The 24,983-nt window shown below is 38.8% G+C and overlaps 1 protein-coding gene across 22 annotated transcripts in view, besides 3 other annotated features; it reads left to right on the forward strand.

Moving 5' to 3' along the window:
* The window catches only part of NTM (neurotrimin), a 966,208-nt gene that overhangs the window by 458,708 nt on the left and 482,517 nt on the right, over positions 1 to 24,983 (forward strand). The window lies entirely within an intron of this gene.
* Positions 7,952 to 8,452: an enhancer, noted in NCBI's record as "H3K4me1 hESC enhancer chr11:131707168-131707668 (GRCh37/hg19 assembly coordinates)". NCBI's record gives its function as "activates a minimal SCP1, AML or CMV promoter by ChIP-STARR-seq in primed H9 embryonic stem cells {active_cell/tissue: H9 hESC(primed)}" and the evidence as "EXISTENCE:reporter gene assay evidence [ECO:0000049][PMID:30033119]".
* Positions 8,453 to 8,953: an enhancer, noted in NCBI's record as "H3K4me1 hESC enhancer chr11:131707669-131708169 (GRCh37/hg19 assembly coordinates)". NCBI's record gives its function as "activates a minimal SCP1, AML or CMV promoter by ChIP-STARR-seq in primed H9 embryonic stem cells {active_cell/tissue: H9 hESC(primed)}" and the evidence as "EXISTENCE:reporter gene assay evidence [ECO:0000049][PMID:30033119]".
* Positions 10,133 to 10,427: a silencer, noted in NCBI's record as "tiled region #14910; HepG2 Repressive non-DNase unmatched - State 24:Quies". NCBI's record gives its function as "represses a minimal TATA promoter and a strong SV40 promoter by Sharpr-MPRA in HepG2 cells {active_cell/tissue: HepG2}" and the evidence as "EXISTENCE:reporter gene assay evidence [ECO:0000049][PMID:27701403]".

Raw genomic sequence — 24,983 nt, forward strand, 5'->3', positions numbered from 1 at the left:
ACCTTTGTACCCCTCCCTGTCCCCTCCCTCTAGAATTCTCCAGTGTCTATTGTTCCCATCTTTATGTCCATGAGTACCCAATGTTTAGGTGTCACTTATAAGTGAGAACATGCAGCATTTGGTTTTCTGTTCCTGCATTAATTCACTTAGGATAATGGTATCCAGCTGCATACATATTGCTGCAAAGGACATAATTTCATTCTTTCCTATGGCATAGTATTCCATGGTGTATATGTACCATGTTTTCTTTATCTGATCCACCATTGATAGGCACCTATGTTGATCCTATGTCTTTGCTATTGTGAATAGTGCTGCAAGAAATATATGTGTGAATGCAACTTTTTGGTAGAATGTTTTATTTTCTTTTGGATTTATAACCAATAATGAGATTGCTGGGTTGAATGGTAGTTCTTAGTTCTTTCAGAAATCTCCAAACTGCTTCCTACAGTGGCTGAACTAATTTACATTCTCATCATAGTGTATAAGCATTCCCTTTTTTCTGCAGCCTTGCGAGCATCAGTTATTTTTTGACTTTTTAATAATAGCCACTCTGACCAGTGTGAGATGCTATCTCACTGTGGTTTTATTTGCATTTCTCTGATGATTAGTGATGTGGAACAGGTTTTTCTTAATATGTCTCTTGGCCACTTGTATGTATTCTTTTGAGAAGTGTGTGTTCACAGCTTTTGCCCATTTTTAAATGGGGTTATTTTTTGCTTTTCAAATTGTTCAAGTTTATTATGCATTCTCCATATTGACCTTTGTTGAATGCATAGTTTGCAAATATTTTCTCCCAGTCTATAGATTGTTTACTCTGTTGATAGTTTCTTTTGCTGTGCAGAAACTCTTTCATTTGATTAAGTTCCACTTGTCGATTTTTGTTTTTGTTGCAATTGTTTTTGAGGATGTAGTTCTTTCCCAAGGCTGATATCCAGAATAGTGTTTCCTGGGTTTTCTTCTAGCATTCTTATAGTTTGATGTCTTACATTTAATCTTTAATCCTCCTTGAGTTAATTTTTGTATATTGTAAAAGACAGAAGTCAAGTTTCATCCTTCTGTATATGGCTAGCCAGCTATTCCAACATGATTTATTAATAGTGAGTCCTTTCCCCATTGCTTGTTTTTGTCGACTTTGTCAAAGATCAGATGGCTGTAGGTGTGTGGCTTTATTTCTGCATTCTCTATTCTGTTCCATTGGTCTATATGTCTGTTTTTGTACCAGTGCCATGCTGTTTGGGTTACTGTAGCCCTGTAGTATGGTTTGAAGTCAGGTAGTGTGATGCCTCCAGCTTTGTTCTATTATTGCTTAGGATTGCTTTGGCTATTTGGGCTCTTTTTTGGTTCCATGTGAATTTTAGAATAGTTTTTTCTCATTCTGTGAAAAATGACATTGATAGCTGGATAGGAATAATGTTGAATCTGTAGATTGTTTTGGACATTATGGCCATTTTAACAATATCGATTCTTCCAATCTGTGAGCATGGACTGTTTTTTCATTTGTTTGTGTCATCTTTGATTTCTTTCAGCAGTGTTTTATAGTTCTCCTTGTAGATATCTTTCACCTCCTTGGTGAGCTGTATTCCTACATATTTTATTTTATTTTATTGCAGCTATTGTAAATGGGATTGCATTCTTGACTTGGCTCTCAGCTTGAAAGCTATTGGTGTATAGAAATGCTACTGATTTTTGTACATGGATTCCGAAACTTTACTGAAGTCCTTTATCAGTTCAAGAAATCATTTGGTAGAGTCTTTAGGGTTTTCTACATATGGAATCACATCATCAGCAAAGAAAGATAGTTTGACTTCTTTTTTTCCTATTTGGATGCCTTTTATTTCTTTTTCTTGCCTGATTGCTGTGGATAGGACTTGCTGGGACTCACTTTTAAAATTAATAATAGTAGCTTCCTAAACATTGGAAGGCTCCTTTTCAGGTCTACATCTATAAAATTTAGTAAAGAACTAAATTTTTGTAGTTTGCCCTTGCTTACAAGGCATATTAACAAATCTGATGCATGTTGAAGTCCCAGCACAAATAGGAGAAAGGACTAGTATCTGCTTTTGCTGATAAGCAAACCCAGCCATGAAATAGATGATATACCCATGTCCTCATGGCTGGAAAATGGCAGAATCTTAGCCTATGCCGTCCACACACCAGAACCAGGCTGGGTCACATGTGCATTCTAGTGGGAGTCCCAGCCTGAGTCTGGTGACTTCCCCAAGCCTCCAGAAAGTCAGGGCTCCAAGCAATTTGTACAGTGTTCATGCCACTGCTTAAAACTTCCCAGTCCCAAATTACTAAATGTGTAAACTTTTTAGATCTTAAAGCTTACGTAGCAAATAGCTTTCTCTTGAAAACCACTCCATAAATTCTAGGGAAAAGTCTTCTGGATTTGTGTTCATGCTGTGACTTTTCTGTAAAAATCAGGTAGCAGATACTTTGACTTTGGATCTACATTAAAGAGATTGAATCTTACTTGACCACTCTTTGACTAGGCCAGTGTTCAGATTATCTCCGGGTTTCTGAGTCCTTTAAATATTCATAAAAGCATAAAAGGTCCCAAAATTAATCCCAAAGTAATTAATTCTCCCAACATTAATTTATTCCTATGTAATTATATATATAATATATATAATTAAATATAATATATATATGAAAAGCCTAGTACATATATATATGTGAAATAATAAAATCAATATTAGTCCATTCTCCTACAGTGGAAGCTTTTTCTGCATACAGGTGGATGAACCAAAAGAAAGCACTTCGTTCCAAAACCTACTCAAACTCCCAAATTGCCCTTCAAAACACGCCACACACACACAAAAGCAAGCATAAACACTTGGGTCAAACTCCGGGTGTTAGAAGAGAAAAAAAAAAAAAACAGAGTTCATATGTATGCGTGATGCTTCCTCTTCTCACTCATGGGTTCAGAGTAATTTTTTCACTTGCTAACTCAATGTCAGAGTCTGAGAGACAAAATTCAGTCTCAGCAGCCAGGGGACTGAGCATGTGATGTTTGGCAAAGCAATCATTACAAAGAAACCTCACTTTTAAGAAAAAAAAACCATGGATACCCTGAGGAGGCTTTGACCTGTATATTTGTTCTTTGATGGTAAAAAGGTATCATGATTCTAAAGACTCACTAGCAGTCAAGAATTTACTATAAGCCTTAATTTTAATCCCAATACAGGACACATTTTGTTGTGATAAATCCCAGTAGCCTATGAAAATTAATCTTGACTTCACCCTCAGCTTGGATATGAGGCAGCTTAGTGTAGGTTAACTCAAAGCAGGGTCTGGCATTGGGGTTCTTGGTCCCTCCCTTCTAATTCCGTGGCCTTAGATGATTGATGAAGGCTTTCTAAGCCTCAGTTTCCTTGGCTGTAAAGTGAAGAAAATAATAGTAACTCCTTCCAGAGTCACATTGGAGATAAACTGAGGGAAGGTGTATGTGTATATGTATGTACGTGCATATGTATGCACATAAACACACACAGGATTAAATATATATATAGACAAGGGCGCTTTAAAAACTGTTAAGTTCTATCCAAATGATAAGCTAATTTTAAAATATAATTTAGGCTGCTCTGTTGTAAGGTATTTGTTGTAATGAGATTTCTCCTTTACTAATTGTGAACTAATTTGCTCATAGAGTGAATAAAGTATTTATAACATGTTAGAATTAAAGTTGTCATAAATACCCATAAAATAAAGTTTTTCTCTACAATAGTAACTAGCTCAGAAAACATTAAGCTCACAAAGTGTATCCTATTGGATGTATTTTGAACAGAAATTTATGTATCGTTCTGACCACATATTTTAGATTTCACCTGTTCACGTTTTCCTTAGCTATATTGTGTGATTTTTGTATTGAAGAATTGTGGTGCAGTGGAAAGGTGAGCTTTGTAGTCACATAGGCCTGAGTTTTACAGTGCACTCTGACATTTCCTAGCTTTGTCCTTGTGATTAATTCACTTTCTATTGCTATCAATATCTAACAATTGGCAGACACTTGATATGCTCCAGGAAATGTGCTACATGCTTCACATACACTACCTCATGTAACCCCCAGCATACACCATGAAGTAGATACTAATTGTATCCCTATTTTACAGGGAAGAAAACTAAAGCACAGAGAGGTTTATATGCCTTCCCTAAGGTCACACAGCCAGTAAGTGACAAAGGAATGGAAGACACTCATGGGGGAAGCCACCTCAGGAGACTGAGTGCATCTGTAGCTCACACATGAGTCAGGACGTGACTGTCAAGGCTGAATGACACAATCATCATGAATTGAAGTCTTTTCAAATAGTATTCAGTGACATGAACACACAGTGGTCCTTGGTTGGTTCTCTCCTTAACCCTGCCGTGTTTTCCATTAGGCCCTGTACCCTAAAGGAAGGAGCTCTGCCTCTTTGCTTCTGAGGAGGCAGGATAGCCTAGTGGTTAAAGATGGGGGGATGCAATATTCAAGGGCATAAATTCTATTATGCAAGAAAGGTAACTTCCTTTTTCTTCCTGTAACAACTCAATTTCTGTTTCAAGACTTTATTTTGCCCAAAGACAGAAATCTTCATTTCGAAGTCTTTTTTCTTAGAAGTTTTATAAATTCTACTTGCTCTTCTCCCCACCCTATGGTATTCTCCATTTCCACTCAGGACTCATCTAAGTTCTGGAAAGCTTACATAGCCTCATGGCATGAGGATGAGGTGGAGGTAGGGAGAACATCTGGCATAAGTACAGTCTCTTCTTTATCCTGATATCTTCTCTTTCGTTTGTTCATTGGTTTCTGTTCATTTTCTCCCTTGGCCTCTGTTTAGTCTCTGTTTAATTCTCTGCCACGGTGCTACTCAGAATAGGGAGGCTCAGGGCCCACCACACTCACGTGCCTTGAGCTGGCTTTAAAGGTTGAAATTCAGTAGTAATCAGGCTTAGGGCCTCCTTCCTTCTCACTCTATATTTTCCCAATACCCACTCCCTTCCACATCTATGGGCTTAACTATGACCTATCGGCCATTTCTTTGATTTAATTCCATGGTTTCTGCATCTAACTAATTACTGATTTATCCTTTACTCAGTCAATAAGTGTTTACTGAATTGTTTTCATGTGGTAGGCACTGTGCTGGGGTTGCAGCTGTGAGTAATTAGAATAGGATCTGACGACGTGGAGCTTCTGTTCTGGTCCCTATCATCCTAATCATCCCTGTCACCTTCATCATCACCCCCAATGCCATCATAATAATCATCATCATCACTATAAGCCAAGCATCTTCGGAATAGTGTGTGTATATATATACATATACATATATATATATATATATATGTATAATCTTCACAGCAACGCAGTGGGATAGTAAGATTATTATCTGTACTTTACACATGAGGAATCTGAGGCACAGAGGGATTATGTCACTAAACACAGTTCACACAGCTACTTTACTATTAGAGCCATGATCCAATCTAGGCATTTTTGATCTGTAGCCCATAATTTAGATCACCCTGCTATACTGCCTCCCATTGGATATGTGGCCTAAAACATTTGCTTCTTTAATGTCTAACAAGTACAGTGGAGTTGATGTTCATTATGGTCAGGGGTCAGGTAGCTAAAATCCTCAGAGAGAGGTCACCACCATTGTAACCCTGGCCATTAATTCATTCAACAAACAGCTTTAACATTCTTACTATGTGTTCAGTATTGTTCTCAATACTGAAAAATACAGCAGCAAAGAAGTTCAGCTAACATCCCTGTCCTCATGGGGCTTACACTCTGGAGACTGGATGTATTATAAGCAGAACAGGAAATTTTAGGAGATGGTAGATACCAATTATTTGTTTTCTGCCAAGATTTAACATATGTATTTGGGCTCAGATCTGAAGATATTTCTGTTTGAAAATTGAAAATTCTGTTTGAAAATACATGTGTGTTGTATGTGTACCCTGGAGTCTATGAAAGTAAACAAGTGCCATCGAGAATGTTGCTGGGATCACTTGTAATCTTTCTAGTCTGAATAGTTAGGATATTCACGATACGTATATGAAAAAAGACTTATCTCTAGGATGGATAAACACCTCCTACAAATAAAAAATATAAAGACAGACATTCAACAGAAATAGAAGAAAGATTTAAACAAGCACTTCACAAAGTGATCAAAAATGTGTAAAAGGACTCAACCTCACTAATCATTAGAGAAATGTAAGTTTAAACCACGATGATATATTGCTATATATCCATCAGAATGGGTAACATTAAAAAAAACTGGCAATACTAAGTGCTGGTGAAGATGTGAATTAACTAGATCTCTCATACCTTGCTGCTGAAACCTAATTGGTACAAACACTCTGGAAAATTATTTAGAGCTATTAATTACAGAATCTCTCATTGTTCCTCTCAGCATAGATTTCCCAAGCATAGATATATACATGCACCAAAAGACATTTTACAAAAGTGTTGATAGATGCACTATTTGTTTTAACTCCAAACTGGAAGCCACACAAACATAAACAGTAAAATGGATATATGGATAGGGACATATCCACCCAATGGAATATTCTAAAACACTAAGACTGATGACATACACATGTCATAGAAGAGTGTCACAAATACAATGTTGAGCAAAAGAAGTCAGACACTGAAGAATTTATACCAAATGATTCTGTTTATATGGAGAGTAAAAATGGGCAAAACTGATATAGTCATGAAAGTCAGGCCAGTGCTACTTTTAGAGAATGAAGACAGGCTGCAAGAATAGGAGGCTTCTGAGTACAGGTCATTTTCAATTTCTTTAACTGCTGGTAGTAATGCGGTTGTGTTTACCATGTGCATACTTATCAAGCTGTATGCTTATGATGTGCTCATTTTTTCTATATGTATGTAATGTTTCAACAAAACTTTTCTTAAAATTAAGTTATGTACCACCTTATATTTCCTGCTTATCCTTCTGTTCTCCAAGGTTTCTCATGAAATTCTAATTCTGTTGAACTAGTTCGAGAGCTTCTCCAAGCCAGAATTCTTGCTGTTTCATCTTGTAAGCCCCCTTTAAATCTTCTTGGATCTAAATAGGGAATGAATTAAAAGATTTGCTATGGAAATTCTCATTTGTATATGTAATTGTGTAGCACAGTGCTTGGAACACTGTATATAGACAGTGAATTTTGACATGTGAATGAAGGGATGAATTAATGTTTTCTAAATCATATTAATCAATTTGTTTATTATCTACACTAGTATGCAATTTATTTGAGCCTAGGAATTCAAACTCTACTTTTCCAATGAGCACATTCCCCTCTGTATGCTTCTCTCCATGTCATGAGTGGTTGGACCTTTACTGAGTTGCTGCAGAAGTCAGTTACCCAATAAGGGATGCTTTGTTTACTTTAAATATGTGAAAAATGGTTTCATTCCTCAGGGGATTATTAATTACTGGTTTACTAATTACTCTGGAACTGATTTTACAGAAAAAAATCTAGGCAGTTGTTTGAATGAATCCTTATTTAAGTGAGTAATTAGTTGGATCAAAATAATTGACTAAATTAAGAAATTCTTTAATAGACATTATTTAGGTGTCAGTTTGATTTTGCTCCTGGTGATGTGTAACAAATCCATTGTGTGATTAGTAATAAAGCTGTCACTCCTGAAGGGATCTTTTTTAAAACAAAAGGAAAGTCTCTTTTGAGGCTGGAAAAGAACTCAAGTACACATAAGCTATGAATTATTTTTCACTTTGTCCTTAAACTTTAGATTACAGACAAAACTTAAAACAAGAGTCAAGGTACAGGAAAACAAGTACATACGTATTAACATAAAAACTCTGGTGGGGAGGGAATAGATATATTTCAAGCCATTTTGGTGTCAAGACCAAAGTAGGTGGGAGCCACTTCATGATATGCATTTCCACACAGGCATCTACCGAATTTGCACCTTTGTCAGGGATCAATTCAAAAGGTACCTCCTCTTCTCTGCCTTCTCTTACCCTCATCCCCTCAATTAAGTATTTAGTGATTCCTAATGCAGTGTTTTCTAATATATTGTGAAAATCCTAAACCACTCTTCTCATTATAATTTGGGTATTCACTGATAGACTGTGGCCTGCTGGAGTGATTTCTTTGTAATCTAAGAAAGTAGCCTAGTTATTGTACAGTGAGTCCAGAATGAGTTACTATTTAGGAGAGTCACATCTAATTGGGTCCTCATTGAGAACCCCTTTTCTACTTTGCGATTAACACAGTTTTTCTAAGATGAAACAGATCACCCTTAAGTAATAATACTCCTTCTGCTACATTTGGCCTGGGTGGTCCCGGATCCTCTGTTTGAAGGTGTCCTAGACAAGCCCAGGCAAAGGTTTTTCAACGGGCCCCAACTCCTGGGTGGAAAAGGTTCCTGTGCACCCGAGGGCTATGCGTGGTGTTGCGGGAGACCTGTCATTGCTGCCTGCCGCGATGCCAGGCCCCACGCTGGGGGAGCCACCCGGGTCCTCACCTGGAGATGTGGCTCTCTGTGGCGACGTGCCCTGACGTGGGAACACATGTTCTAACTGGAGATGACTTTAACTGCCTGAAGTCGAAAAAGGTTGTGTGTAATACCAGGTTTTATACTAACCCAAAATAAATTTTCTCTAACACGAGTTTTCAGACAGGTTGGCCTAATATATTAACTTCTGTCTGTGTTTTGAATAGTCAATTTCACGGTGAAATGAGTTCTTAATAATATATTTACCACCTGGGAAACATCTCCCAGCCATCTGGAAAGGAGAGGGGATTTAGTGCCTCCAAACAGAGATTGGATTTTTTTCACAGTTATTTATTTATTTATTTTTACATCAGGTAAAAACCGGAAGGACGACTCGGTTCCAGCATCACGGATGCAGGGGGCGGGGTGTAGACGGCACAGGTCCTGCGCATGCTCAGTGATCACTCATCCCGGAAGTCGGGCTCTGTCATGTGTGTCAGGACTCCAGTCAACGATCCTGAAGGACCAGCCTATGTTATATTAAGTACTGGTGGGAAACACAAAAATAGTACAGCCGAGTGTCCACCTCCTTAGTGATTTACATATCTATGGGGGTAGCAGACGTTAAAAGGTCAGAGCAATGGCTTTGGTTGGAAAATAGTGGATTCAATTCCTGATGTCATGTATTAGTTGTGTTGCAAATTGCTAAATCCCACTGAGCTTCATTTTCTGCATTTTCCACAGGGAAATAATAATGTCTATCTTTTGATGTTGTTGTGAGATTGGAGATAGTGTAGGTAAAGTGCCAGTATCCAGGGTCAATATGGAAGTGATCAATGGAAAATATGGAACAGAGGGAGAAAGTTAAAAATTCATGGTTGTGTGTGCGTACAATGTCATATGCGCACTCAAACTGATCTGATAGAAGATATTGGAACTGGATAGATAAAACAAAGGGGGTTTATTAGGTTTTGAAAAGAATAGAATATAAACTATAGAATAAGAATACAAAAAAACATTCCATCATTCATTCATTCAAAAAATATCCACTGAGCATCTACTGTGTACCAGGTATTCTTGGAGGTGCTTTGAGTGCATCTATGAATGAAGCAAATATTCCTGCCCTCTTTGGGTTTAGATTCTCAAGGGAAGAGTGGACAGACAATCAATGGTAAATGAAATAAGTAAATAATCTTTTTTTTTTTTTTTTTAGATGGAGTCTCGCACTGTCACCCGGGCTGGAGTGCAATGGCGCAATCTCGGCTCACTGCAACCTCTGCCTCCCGGGTTCATGCGATTCTCCTGCCTCAGCCTCCTGAGTAGCTGGGATTACAGGTGCACACCACCACACCCAGCTAATTTTTTGTATTTTTAGTAGAGACAGGCTTTCACTATGTTGGCCAGACTGGTCTCGAACTCCTGACCTCAGGTGATCCGCCCGCCTCGGCCTCCCAAAGTGCCGGAATTACAGGCGTGAGCCACCATGCCTGGCCTGTATATTTTAAGGTAAGTGGTTAGGTAGAAAAATATAACAGAAATGGATTAAAGAATTGGGAGTTTCAGGACCAGGGCAGGTTGCAATATTAACAGGGTATTTGAGGTTGGTGTCATTTATAAGCTGATGTTAGAGCAAATATGTGAAGGAGATGAGGAAATGAGTCGGGGGACATCTGGGGAAAGAAAGTCCACCTGAGGAAGCAGCCAGGGCAGAAGCCCTCAGGCCATGCTATCCTGCTCAGTGTGCAGCAAGGTCAGCAGTGCGGCTGCAGCTAAGTGAGTCAGGGGAGATTAGTGGGAGTTAAGGAAGCAAGATAACAGGACACCAGAAAAGGAGACTTATAGGTCACCATAAGAACACAGACTTTTACTCTGACAGTCACTGGAGGGTTTTGCCCAGAAGAGTGAAAGAATTTAATGTACACTTGAAAAGACTCATGGATTAGTTTGCTGCTATGTTGAAACTAGATTTGAATGGGTGTGAGCAAATGCAGTTGTTGGGAAAACAGTATGGAAACTGTTGTATGAAAATGATGGGAGGTCTGACCCAGATCTGTGGCCCAGGCCAGGGTGGTAGCAGTGAACCATTGGGAGATAGTCAGTTTCTAGATGTATTTCCAAGGTAGAGAGACACATGACTTCCAAAAGTACTGCAATTTGAGTATTAGAGACAGGGAGGGGGCAGCAGATCTGACTACAAGCCTTCACACCTGGACAACTGGAGGATGGACTTGCCATCAGCTGAGACAGACGATGAAAGCTGTGTTGGGGAGTTCAGGTCAGGCCTTCAGCTTTAAGGACATCGCACTTGGTGTGTCTGTTAGACACAGGTAGAGTTGAGAGTAGGCGATTGCATATACACTCCTGTGACTCAGGAATGTACCAGACACATGCATTGGGAAGTTGTGATACGGATGCTATTTAAAGCCACGAGGCCAAATCAGATTTCCCCCAAGGAAGTGAATGGGAAAAGGAAAAACGCCTAAGGATTGAATCCTTAAGAATTCCAATATTAAGGATTAGGTGAGCAAATGAGGACACAGAGCAGGACACTGTACAGGAAAATCCCTCAGGAGGCAAACCAAGAGCATGTTCTCCTGGAAGCCATGTGAGGAAGGCACATCATGGAAGGTGGAGTGATCGATCAACTGTGTCACACGCTGCCGATGGACCAAGTAAGAGGAGGTCTGAGGATCGACCATGAGATTTGAAAACAGGGAGCTCAGTGGCAACCTTGAGTCCATTTTCAGATGTGACAGCAAAAGAAAACTTAAGGAAGAATCTGAAGAGATGGATAGGACATTAACATTGAAAACTTTCATGAGTTTTTTCTTTCTACAGAGGGGAGCAAAAACTGACACCTGTCCAAAAAAAAGAGGTATATTTTAAAGAAGTGAAATGACCTAAAAATGAAGAATGTGTTTATGTGTTGATGGGAATGACCCCCAGAAGAGGATGTGAAACTGAACAAAGCCGTGTCTTCCATCCTACATTAGAGGGTGTGGGATCTGGTGCTGGCTCACTGGAGGACCTGGAGCGGGACCCTGGAAGTGCTCTTCTGAACAGTTTTATTTTTCTCAGTGAAGGAGGAAGTGAGGCCATCGGGCAAATCTGAGAATGATGGAGGGAATGTCAGAGGTGGAGGATGACAGAAGGTGTGAAATGAAAATGTTCATCTTGAGGAGTGAGATGGTGAATGAACTAGTGGGAAAGTATGGTCTTCCAGCAGTACAAGACCCACTTGAGGTTTTCAGTGATTAGTTTAAACTGAGCTAATTCAATTTATGGTCAGTTAAATAGATTTAGTACACATTTTTAAGACATTTTATAGGTCATGCACTGTTCTTGGCTCTGGAGACATAAAAATGACTAGGATGTTGTTCCTCTCCTCAAAGTCCTGCAGGGAGAGAGACTGAAATATGAAACCAATAGCTATAATAAATTGTAATAATTCTATAATTGAGTTATACTTATTGTTTGGGGAAGTACTGCCAAGTGTTGTTGCCAAATATAGTGACACAGCAAGATGATGGTGTTTTTCACATCAGAATCAGAATGTGGTTCTCCATAGTGACCTCCCATTTCCTCAATAAACATTTATTAAATGTTCAGCACTGTGTGCTAGGTGTTAGAGCTACAACGGCAAATAAGATCATTTTTGCACTCAAAGAGCTCACCATCAAATACAGTGATTTCCAACCTTGGCAGCACACAAGAATCACTTGGGCAATTTTAAAAATCCTGATGCCCAGGCCATACCCCAAACTAATAAGTCACATTTTTTTTTAACATTCCCCAGTATTTCCAATGTACAGTCAAGGACGAGAATTGCTGATCTAGGGTGAGAGACAGATAAGAAAACAGAAAATGGAAATATAGGTGTGATAACTGCTATCAGATAGGGAGGCACAAGCTACTAAGGGAGCCCTATTGAGGGGTCAGTCCTGAAGGTAGAGGGGCCTTGATGACTTCCACGAGGAAGAGCCCCCTGAGCTGAGTGAAGGGTGACTGGGGTCAGCGTGGGAAGTAGAGGAGGGATGGGGATTACAGCTGAAGGAGCAGGAGCGGCAGAGGCCTGGGGACTGAAAGAGCGTGTCCCACTCAGAAATCTGTGATTCAGTAGAGTTAAGCCAGGGCCACAAAGCAGGAAGAAAGTGGCAAGAGATGCCCAACAGCCATTAGGCAGGAGCCACACTAGAATGGGCGAATTCAAATTTGTTTCCCCACTACTGTCAAATTCCTATTCAAATACGACCAGAGAAACGTATGGATCATACAAAACCGGTTACCCCAACTTGCACCACATGAGCGAGCAGCACCTTGAGAGAACCTCAGTGGAGTCAGAGGTTAGAGGAGCTCCTTTACAGAGCTCTAAAGGCTGGAGTGAGCCACAAGGTGGTTTTAGGGCAGAAGTTTCTGAGCAGGAACTGGTCAGATCTTGCAAACCATTTTAATCGCTGGAACAGACGGTGGTCTTTTCTTTGGAACATATGAGTCCATGAGAAGGTGTTGTTAAGTCAGTTTTTCTCTTGTCTTATTTGGATTATAAGGGTCTGAATGAGCTCCTATTAAAACATTTTGAGTTTACAGTGTTTGTGTTGTGTGTCCTGGTTCCACAGAGTTTATCTGTTGTGAATTTCAGCACAGTTTTGCAAGTCGTGGTTTCCGTTTCATTTCTTACTGTATTAAGAAAATGTGGTGTGGTAAATAGAGCATCGAGAGGCAGTAGTCTCCCATAAAATATGGTGTCCACAAATCTGCTGACTCCTGAAGGTGACCTAAAAATGAACATTATCTACTAAGCATGTTCAACGCATCCAGGACAAAAAAATCTTGAACTGACCTTTTTGAAAAAGACATTGCAAGAGAAGTACATTAATTGAGTATATCAACCACTGAGTATGAAAATCCAAAATGTTTTAGGCAAACACCATTAAATTTACTATCTAAATTTCTAATATGAGGGCAAGCAAAGTGGCTCATGCCTATAATCCCAGCATTTTGGGAGGCTGTGGCTGGCAGATCACTTGAGGTCAGGAGTTCAAGACCAGCCTGGCCAACATGGTGAAACCTCATTTCTACTAAAAATACAAAATTTAGTCGGGCGTGGTGCCGCATGCCTGTAATCCCAGCTACTCAGGAGACTGAAGCAGGAGAATCACTTGAACCCAGGAAGCAGGGGTTACAGTGAGCCAAGAGGTACCACTGCACTCCAGCCTGGGTGATAAAGCAAGACTTTGTCTCAAAAAATAAATAAATAAATAAATAAATATAAAATGAAAAGCAAAATTTCTCATATGAATATTCCAAACATATAGGAAAATATGATGAATAATAAAAAAGTTGCTAGCTACCAATTTTCCTCATGTTGTAATATTTTTGCCAAATTTATTTCACACATTATTACTAGAGAAACACAACATTAATCTAAACTGAATCCACTTGTTTATTCTTCTCTAAATCCATTTTCCCTGCTCCTGTCTCCCCTCTCCAGAGGTCCCCAAAATTATGAAGTTATCAGATTTTTCTTCTCTAGTACATTCATATGTGTTTAAATAAACTATAATATTGTTCTCCATGATTTTGAACTACTATAAATGGTCTCAGTCTGGTTAGATTCTTCAGTTACTTGCCTTGTTTATGTAACTTCATGTTTCTGAGATTTGATTTATTCCTCTTAAATAGACAGATAGACCACCCATTCATTTTAATCCAATTTATGACTATTACCACTGTTTAGCTCTCCATTATTGCAAGACCTGTGGGCTGTCTCCACCTGTAAAAACAATGCTGCAATAAACATGCATGTATGCAGCTTGTGCACATGTGAGCGGGAATTACTCAGGGTAGGATAAAAGCACCTTCAACATTTCTAAATATTGCCAAACTGCTTAATAAAATGGTTTTGCCAGTTTAAAATCTCACTAGACTGCATGCGAATAGGCAATTTTCTGGGTATATAATGATATCTTATTGTTGTTTTAATTTGTATTTTCCTGATTGCTAGTGTGGTTGAACATCTTTTTATATATTTATTAGCCATTTCATTTTCCTCTTAGTGAATTGCCTAGTTTTCCTACCAAGTTCTTTTTTCTTGTTTCTCTTATTGGTTGGTTGGGATTTTATTCTCTTTTTTTTCACATTTTCGATATGAATTCTTTTTTACATGCATTGCAGTTGCAAATTTTTTCTCCCAGCCTGTGTCTCTTGTTTACACTTTATGATGTCTTCTTTTTTTTGTAGAGAACTATTTTTCTTTTAATAAACTAAAACTTTATTTTCTTTGATGAGTTTGTGGATGTGTGTGTGCGTTTGTGTTGGCATAAAAAATAATTTCCTACCCGAAAAACATAAAAATACCTGCTTATATTTGTATTCTAATAATGGCAAAGTGTTGCTGTTGGTATTTAGCTTTTTAATCTATCTGCAATTGATGTTTGTGTGTGATGTGAGACAGGGGCCTTGGGAGCATTTGTTGATTACAGGAATCTGCAATGTTGTTTCTTTCCTTAATCCAGTTTCCATTTGGTGTGGTTCTGTATTCGGACTTTTATCGGCTTCTGTTGGTTCATTTGTCTTTCTGGGGCCCATTCCACACTACCTTAATTCCTGTAGCTCTGAAATGCATTTTGCTATCTGGTAGGATGAGTCCCCCCATCCTACTCTTCAAGTTCATCTTAATTATTCGTGATACTTTGTTCATCGCTCTAAAATTAACTTCTAGTACCACACAACATTCTCTTGATATTGTCACTGAAGTTGTATTAAATAAAACTTATAGAATATTTTTGTATGAATTGACATATTTATGATGTTGTGTTTCTCTGCCCATGAACATGTTATATGCTTTCATTTATCTAGGTTTCACTTTTTTTGGTTTTCAATAGAGTTTTGTAATTTTTGCTGGAAATCTCTTATACATGTTTTATACAGTCGGTTATTCTCACAAACTCTATTTTTGTTGTTATTATAGTGTCTCTTTTAATTAATCTTTGTTTTTGTACAGTTCACATTTTAAAATTTCATTGATATTTCTATATTCATCTTATATTCAGCAACTTTTCTAAACTCACATATTAATTCTAATTAATCATTAGATTCACTTGGATTTCCTACATAGATAATCATATCATTAGGCAGTTTGTTGTTTTCTTTTCTAATCCTTATTATCTTCATTTCTTTGTCCTGTCTCACTATGCTGACTCTGACCTCCAACTCACTGCTGAATGAAGCAGTGCAAATAAGCATCCTTGCTTTGTTTCTGACTTTAAAGTGATTGCCTCTAATATTTTGACTATTAAATAGGAAATTTGCCATATACTTTTGGTGAATGCCCTTTTTGAAGTTAAGGAATCCCCTTTAGATTCATGGTTTTCTTTGAATTTCCATCATGAATTTATCATATTTTATTAAATAGTTGTTCTGTATTCTTTGAAATAAAAAACAGTGATTTTTTTCCTCAAAGTTGATTACACATTTAAGGAATTCAGTGAATAAATCTACTAATTACATCCAGAACCTGGCTCAAGGAGAATACCTCAGACAAAAATAAATGGAGGTTGGGGGAGCTTGTGTTTGTATTCTGGAATGGGGTTGGAGAAGAGCTCCTGACTGAAATGGAAATCTGTTCCTTCAATACCAGCACTCTACATTGTTGCTTCTCAGCGTATAGTAGAGCAGCAGCAGCAGCCTCCACAGGGTGCCCAGAAATGCAGAGTCTCAGGCCCTCCCCCAGCCCTACTAAACCAGAATCTACATTTAACCAGAGAGCCGGGGGAACAATATGCATAAGCAAGTTTGAAAAGCTGGTTTACATTGTCCTTCAAATACCAGAGGCGAATCCATTCACATTATCTAGTATATCTAATTCATCTCTGGAACGTAAACCAACTTTGCACTCCTGAGATAAAATTCCTGTCATTAAAAAAAAAATACATTCCTGGATTTTTTTTAAAATATCTTTTCTTGCTCTCTAAAACCACTGTAATATTTTAAAAAAATAAAAGAAAAAAGACAAAAATATACCTTTGAACTTAATTTGCTAATGTTTACCCGAGGATTTTTCCTTCCCTATACATAAGAATGACCTCTAATTTGCCTCTCTGGTATTATCCTCTTCTGGTTTTGAATCAAGGCAGTTCTAGATAAATAAGTGATCTGTGGAGCATTTCCTGTTTTTATCCTCTCCGAAACATTCCATTTAGCTTTTGAGTTATCTGTATCTTGTATTATTGTTAGGACTCACCTATAAATTCTTCTGTGTCTAATTATGGTTGTTAAGTTTTTAAACTTCTGATAACATTTTGTTTTAAACATCACATGTATAATTTGATTTTCCGTGCTTTAATTATTTCTTTATATATTTTCTTGTTTTCAAATTTACTAGCAAGCGTCATTCCTGTTAATTAAAAGACTCTGCTGAATTTATTACTATATACCAATTTGTTGTATCCCTATTATTGCTTGTTTATACCTTTTCTGTCTTTTTTCCTTAACCTATGTTAAGAGAGGCATAAGAGTTTTGTTGTTCTCTTCAGAGAGCTACTTCTCAACTTTGTGAATTCTCTTGGATTTTTATTGGTTTTCTAAGTCAGTAGTTTCTTCTCGTATTTCAAATTATTCCTTTGTTTTATATATTCTTTGGGTTTACTCTGTTGATCTTTTCTAATGACTTTAGTAGATGATCAGCTCATTAATTTTTAATCTTTGTATTTTAAAAAATCTCCCCTTAAATACTATACTGTTTTAACTCTATCATGAACAGTTTAACAGTTAATATTTTATTAATATCTCTTTCCAAATATTTTAAAATTATTGTTTGTATTTTAGATATGTTAAATTTGAGTATGAATGAAATTTGAATTTTAAATATAACTATTGTATATGTTATTACTTGCTCTGTAGTCTAAATAGTACATATTCCATGTGTACTTGGAAATGTATGTATTATTTATAGAAATCTGTAGTTTCTATAAGCACCAGCAAGCGTACATTTCAGAAATAAGGAGCTGAGGCTGGGCTGAGGAGGCAGGATTAGCAGTGTCTCTCAGGTTGGGAGCTGAGCCCTAGGCTCAACAACAGAAATGCAGTTATTTGAGGAAAAAAATAAAAAGAGTGAGGTAGAAAATCAGGAAGGGAGGGGCAAGGCATGGGAATAGAGCTGGAGCAATCAGGAACTGGACTGTTTAGCAAAACCTGCAGTGAGAAAGGTCTAGGGTCTTGTTAAGGCTCTGGCTTAAAAGCTATAAAGTAGGAACTTGATCATGATGTGGTAGCTAAGGTTCCTGCTTCTGTGACTGCAGATTTAATTTCAAATCTGTATCTTTCATTTAGTTGTAGGGACTATGGTTATCTTTTCTATAAAGTAGGAATAATAATTATATCCCCCATATTGAGGAATATGTAGAAATTAAATATTGAGGATATCATGGAAATTAACTAGTAAAGTGGTAAGTATTAAGTGATTACTCAATAGCAAACTCAATGAATTCCACTCTTATTATATATTTAAATTATTTTAATTACATAAGTTTCAATTCTTATTAAATAAATTAAATTTAATTCTTATTAAATTCTAATAAGAATACCTGTAATTGAGAAGAAGTAGAAGGGAAGGAGGAGGGGAAAAGATGGTAAAGCAGGGAATGAGATGAGAGGAGGTACAGAAATAGACCATTGTACATCTGTGCAAGGATAGGTCCTGCTTTCGGGACCTGTAGGCTGTGGCCAACCTGCAGGAGGAGGCAGGAAGCTGTGGCTCATTTCAGGCAGAGCAAATGTGTAGGAATCCCACAGTTCCTTCAGGAATAGAAACCCAGCAATATTCTTCCCTCTTCTCCCCACTTGTTCTGGAATTACAATCAGGTAAAAAATCAGTCCAGGTTTGATGAACCATTTCTTACCTCTAGTATTGATTCCCTAGTCATGCCTCAGAGCTCAGCAGTAGGGAAATACCAAAAAAAAATAAAAATAAAATAAAAACAATAACAAATTGCAGATGGATGGGGAGCTCTGTTCACGCTCTGTGACTGGGGAGGAAGACATGCATATAAGGAAGTCCTGCTGCTTCAGTACCATCCCTCAATATCATCCTCAACTGTCAATACTTCAAATATTTTAACTGTATTTCCATCCAGTTGACGAGATTTAAAATTATTTTGAACAATGTATTCTGTTTGTATGTCTCATTGAGACCATCCTGGAGGCTGGCTACCACACATGGGAAATGTCCATTATGTATTTGTAACATTTTAACCAGTAAGAGAAACAGTTGTTCTCTTTATTCTTTATTTTATTCTTTTATAATGACGTTTGCTGAGTATCATGTAGACGTGGTGTATCACTAAATGGAATTTTATTAAGGGGTTCTAAAGTTCAGATATAAAGTTGGTATGAAAGAAAAGATATACTGAATATATACTTTTTTCTTCCTCTAATAAAAATTCCCTCTCCTCCATACAGGTCTAACTTGTGTATTTTCCCTTGGTTACAGCTAAACAATCTAACAGCTGTAGATGAAGACATGATACCTGCAGTAGCCATAACTCTCCAGTTGGAGTTTCCTTGATTTTTCTTATTAGATAGTTGATCCCGTTTTCTTCTCATCTGATAAGGTTAAACTGCAGCCATTTGGAATGCTTTTCATCTACATGAAAGTCGCCTTCCTGATGATGTGGTAATATCAATGGTAATATAGCATTCAGCTGCCTGCCAGGCTATGGGGAAGGTCACAATGGATATTATTACAGAGAACTCATCCCTCCCATGAAACATTCATGCTTTATAGCAGCCTCCACTTCACTGCTTCTTGAAGAGGTCCACTTCCCTTTGACCTTTGATGATGGCATTAAAGTGCATGCTCATTTCAAAAATACTATTAATAACTACCATTTAGATAGTCTTTATGTTTTACAAAGAGCTTTCACATCTGTCATCGCCCTTGGTTCTCATTCCAACTCTAGGCTGCAGATGTCAGATTGGCCCCAAATCGCACACCTAGGAAATATCAGAGCCAGAACTAAAACCCAAACCTTCTCCTCCAAGTCCCTGATCTTTTAATTACATCATAGTGCAAGTGGAGTTTCAACACTGTTTTTCTCACAAACCAGGGAGTGTTATTTGAGCCAGTAGCATATTATATTACTTGTCAATGTTTCCAGAAAAGGGTATCGTAAATAATTCTTTGCCAAGTGGATGACTTTTCTTACAAAAACAATTTTGCTGCTTAGAAAATTTGTTTTCTGAACTATAAAATAGGTGTATAATCATTTCTCCTAATAATGACGTGAGGCTAAATGAACTCATTACCGTTAGGATTTTTAAGCTTCCCTATTTTGGCTTATCAATGGCATGTTTCAAGCAAAGCTCAGTACTATAAGAATGAAGGATTTAGAGGAAGATAGTGACGTAGATCCTGCTCCCAGGAAAGACTGTAATTTGAGCACTTGTTCCTAATGTGTTTTGGGTCAAGTAGAACTATATTAGGCCATTTTTGCATTGCTGTAAAGAAATACCTGAGACTGGGTAATTTATAAAGAAAAGAGGTTTGATTGGCTCATGATTCTGCAGGCTGTCTAAGCATGGCACCCGTGTCTGCTTGGCTTCTGGGTTAGCCTCAAAGAGCTTTTACTCATGACAGAAGGTGAAGTGGGAGCAGACACGACAGTGGTGAAGGCAAGAGCGAGAGAGAGAGAGGGGGAAGTGCCACACACTTTTAAAGGACCAGGTCTTTGAAAAACTCACTATCACAAGGACAGCAGCAAGCCATGAGGGATCCGCCCCCATGATCCACACACACCCAACCAGGCCCCATCTCCAGCACTGGGGATTACAACTCAATGTGAGATTCGAGCAGGGCCAAATATCCCAACTATATCAAGAACTCTGGAATCTTTTGAGGACATTGACCCTTCCTGGAAAAGTCTCCACTGACAAAAATTATTGTGCAACATTTCAGAGCCCTTTATGGGTTAGCTAATGTTCATCTCTGGTTGCCGGTTAAGACCTGAGAATACATGGACACAGGAAGGGGAACATCACACACCGGGGACTGTTGTGGGGTGGGGGGCGGGGGGAGGGATAGCATTAGGAGATATACCTAATGCTAAATGACGAGTTAATGGGTGCAGCACACCAACATGGCACATGTATACATATGTAACAAACCTGCACTTTGTGTACATGTACCCTAAAACTTAAAGTATAATAATAATAATAATAATAATAATAATAAGACCTCAGATCTAGAGGCACGTAATTTGCACTCAGGTTGCTAAGTGTAGGTTGCGGTGACCATCAACAGTAACCTAATGCCCAGAATTAGCTTTAATTGCTTGCTAATATTAGTGTAGATGTAAACACTTAATTAGTGTAAATACAAATCATTCCATTGACAGGTAAAATGCACCTTAACTTCCACAGTTGCAGCTTTGGGTGTTTGGGTTAGCAAACTGATGTAAAGAATTGCCACACAATTAATAACAAACGAGGATATTCACTTAGGGCATTCATTAGGTTAAATTTGCATACTTGAAGCTATTAGAAGACATTAGCCCATTGTAACCAGGAGAAAAATAAAGCTAGCACTATCTCTTTGCCTTCCCCACTTCACTTGGCTCCAAGCTTAGCCACTCTGATGATACAGTGCTAAGAAGTCACACTTTTCTCCTTATAAATGACTCTTGGCCCCTGCAGAATACACATGTCTACTAGGGAGACACAGAGCTGGGAGGCTTTCGGGAGACTGGGGGTCGATTTCCTTTCCTTAAAATGAAAGTTTGACTTGTCCTTCCAAAAATAAGGTCTTTGTCTTCCATTTGCTTAAAGAAAACTGAGAAACAAAAAAGGGATTAGCTGAATTTCCTTTGGGTAGGTAGCGGCTGCTGATCAGAAGGGTCTAATGAGGTGAGCAGCAGCAATCAATGTTCAAAGGGAGGTGACGACAAGGTCACCAGGTCAGGCGGTGCCATCGGATTTGGCTGCGATTGTCTCGTCGATAAATGTCCTGGCAGGAAATTACTATAAACAAACTGCAGCATCTTTTTAATTCAGGTGTGGGCTGAGGCGAGGGCACTGACCCATAGGATTTCTTGAGGAGAAGAAGAGGCAGCAGGTTATTTCTCAGATTTCTTTCAACAGACAAATCTATGGAGCTGAGCTGTGTGTACAGAGATGTCCTGTTTTCCCACCTATCTTGTCTCGTCTTTGCAGAACATCATTCCTACCACTGCCGTGTTGATGCTGCTAGTGGCTGAGCTTGGGCCCTCCTGAGTGTCCACACCAAAGCTGAGTTGAGACTTGCTTTAGTCCATGGGGAACCAAAATTTGTCATGGTCAGCTAGCTCTTCATGTCTAAAGGAGAGTATTATGAGTTCAGGTCATATATAATTATTGGGGTCAAATGGATCTAAATAAGTTATTAACTAAAAGTATGAAGTATAGTGGGGGTTCCAGTATCCAAAATCTTTGGTATCATAGAGCAGTAGCATCCTTAGAATCATAGAGCTGTTGAATACTGGGCAAGGAAGGAGGCTTGGGAGGGTGTACAGTCCAGCACCGGCATTTCAGGTATAAAGCTGAAACTCCAAGTCATTAAATGATTCCCTGCTCATAAGTCAGCCCTCCCGCTAATAGAAAAAAATATTTTAATATTTTTGTTGTATGGCTAACATTTTCATTCACCATGGATTTTTATCCCTTAATAAATCTAAGGCATGACATTTCACATTCTGGCTGGTCTATAACATCACATGCCCTGGTGAGAATGGCGTGTGTGTGTGTGTGTGTGTGTGTGTGTGTGTGTGTGGCCAAGTGGAGGTGGACTCAGGGGAAGCCTTGCCTTGTCTGCAAAGCTTCTCCTAGCCCTTTGCAGAGGGCTTGGCATCTTTCTTCTGTGCCACTGATTTTTATACAAATGCCATTGCAGCACCTTTGAGGACATTCTGTCATTCTGTCCTACCAGGTAGTGAACTGCTTGAGGGTAGGAACCATAAATTAGCAATTAAAAATAACTGCCAAATGATGGACCAAAGCATGGCCCATAGATTATCTAACACTTTAGTAAAATAGGAGGCAGAGAAAATGACACAAGATAGAGAAGAAGGAGAAAAAAGCAAGGAGGAGGAAAAAGTTGTCATTTTCATAAAGAGTTCTGAAGAAGCTTTTGGTCACTTTGCATTTAATCCCCTAAATCAATTTGCCTGCCTGGAACCCGGGTCTGGGGTGCTTGCCATGTTGAGGATGAGCTGGCTTCATTTCCAGCTACTGGACTCGCAGATAGAATTGTCCTTGATGTTCCGAATAGAGAGAAAGGCAGAGACTGACAGAGCGGGAGTGTGGGGAAGGCTCCTGCAGGGACAGAGTGTTCTAACCTGCTGAGGCGGCTCCCATGGAGCCATGAGCTGCGTGCAAATGGCAGTCAGTGTGTGCTTTGAAGCCTCCAGCCTTGGGAACTTCAAACAAGGGGAGGACAGACAGATGATCTATGGGAAATTAACATCTAAAAGGTCTAAAATCTGTTCTTCCTGTCACCTTAATCTCCTGCCTGCTCACTGACAGTATTTACTTTCTGAACATAGTGAACATTTAATACAACAGAGGCTCCCACACACTTAACTTTTCTAAAACAGAAAATCTTACATTTCAATACAATCCATTTTAATTATTTTATTTCTTCACTGCATTTTGAACTGTTCCTTTCTCTAGGTTTTAGAAGATTTCCTTAAGGAGTAGAGTAAATGAACTTTGAGAGAAGAGGTAGGCTAGCAGGTGGAATGTCCTGCCACTGCTCTGGCAGCTCCATGGTCACCTGGCAGATGCTCATGGAATCATGTGGAGTAACAGTGCCTGCTGGGTCAGGGGCATGTTTTCTGCCTCTTACCTTTTGATTTATTTTGATTCCTGGAATAGATCAGCTCACTTTGAAGTATACCTAGGAAGGATATATAATTTGTCTATACCCACCCACCGATGGATTTATCCATTCACTCATCCATCCAACTATTCATCTACTCATCCATCCACCCATCTAACCACCCATTCATCCACTCATCAATTCATCTTCTATTCACCCACCCATCCATCCACCCATCCATCTATCCATCCATCCACCCATCCGTCCATCCATCCATCCACCCACCCATCCATCCATCCATCCACCCACCCATCCATCCATCCACCCACCCATTCATCCACTCATCCATCCACCCATTTATTCACCCACGCATCCATCCACCTACCACCCATCCATTTATTCTCCCACGCACCCATCCACCCATCCATCCATGCATCCATTCACTCACTATTTGTGCATTCAGGAAGAGAGTCAATCTACAAACATCTTTAGAGTACCTACTGTATGCCCAGAACTATACTAGATGCTGGCAATAAGAGAAGAATAATTTGTGGCTCTTCCTTTAATGAGAATATGTTCTACACAGTCTGAGCACCATAAGCAGACTATTTCTTTTTTTAAATTTCCAACTTTTAAGTTCATGGGTACATATGCAGGATGTGCAGGTTTGTTACATAGGCAAACATGTGCCATGGTGGTTTGCTGTGCAGATCATCCCATCACCCAGGTATTAACCCAAGAATCCATTCGCTATTCTTCCTGATCCTCTCCTTCTTCCTCCACCCCAGGCTTGGACAGGCCCAGTGTGTGTTGTTTCCCCCTGTGTGTCTTATGTTGTCATAATCTAGCTCCCACTTATAAGTGAGAGCATGCGGTATTTGGTTTTATGTTCCTGCATTAGTTTGCTAACGGCAATGGCCTCCAGCTCCGTCCGTGTCCCTGCAAAAGACATGATCTCATTCCTTTTTGTGATTGCATAGTATTCCATGGTATAAATATACTACGTTTTCTTTATTCAGTCTATCATTGATGGATATTAGGTTGGTTCCATGTCTTTGCTATTGTGAATAGTGCTGCAATAAACATACACTTACATGTGTCTTTATAAGAGAATGATTTATATTCCTTTAGGTATATAGCCAGTAATGGGATTGCTGGATCAAGTGATATTTCTGCCTCTAGGTCTTTGAGGAATCACCAGTCTGTCTTCCACAATGGCTATACTACTCTACACTCCCACCAACAGTGTCAAAGCATTCCTTCTTCTCCACAACCTTGCCAGCATCTGCTGTTTCTTTTTGAATGAGTTATACACTCCTATTTTGAATAACGACATATTTATTTTTGGCATAATTTTCTAGAAAGCTAGTAATACAGATTATACATTAGAAGGTCCTGGAGTAGATGCATGGTTCATCTGTAGTAGTTTAGGAAAGCAAGCCCAGACACATTGCAACAATTCTACTTACTACCCTCACAAAGAAAGCATTGGTATATTTTTACATCTCATAACTGAAGTCATCTTAGAATAAGGTGTTTTCTAGAGTGTTCCATGGGTAAAGGCCAAGAGGGTTTAATCCTAGATATGAAGAGGCTCTCTGAGCTGTCTTCATGGTAATCGTGGTCAGATAAGGTACACAGTGATTTAAAAAGACATACGAGTTTCTTCCTTTAGGGAGCTACCAGCTG

Source organism: Homo sapiens, chromosome 11 (assembly GCF_000001405.40).
Source record: "Homo sapiens chromosome 11, GRCh38.p14 Primary Assembly".
NCBI classification, from domain to species: Eukaryota; Metazoa; Chordata; class Mammalia; order Primates; family Hominidae; genus Homo; species Homo sapiens.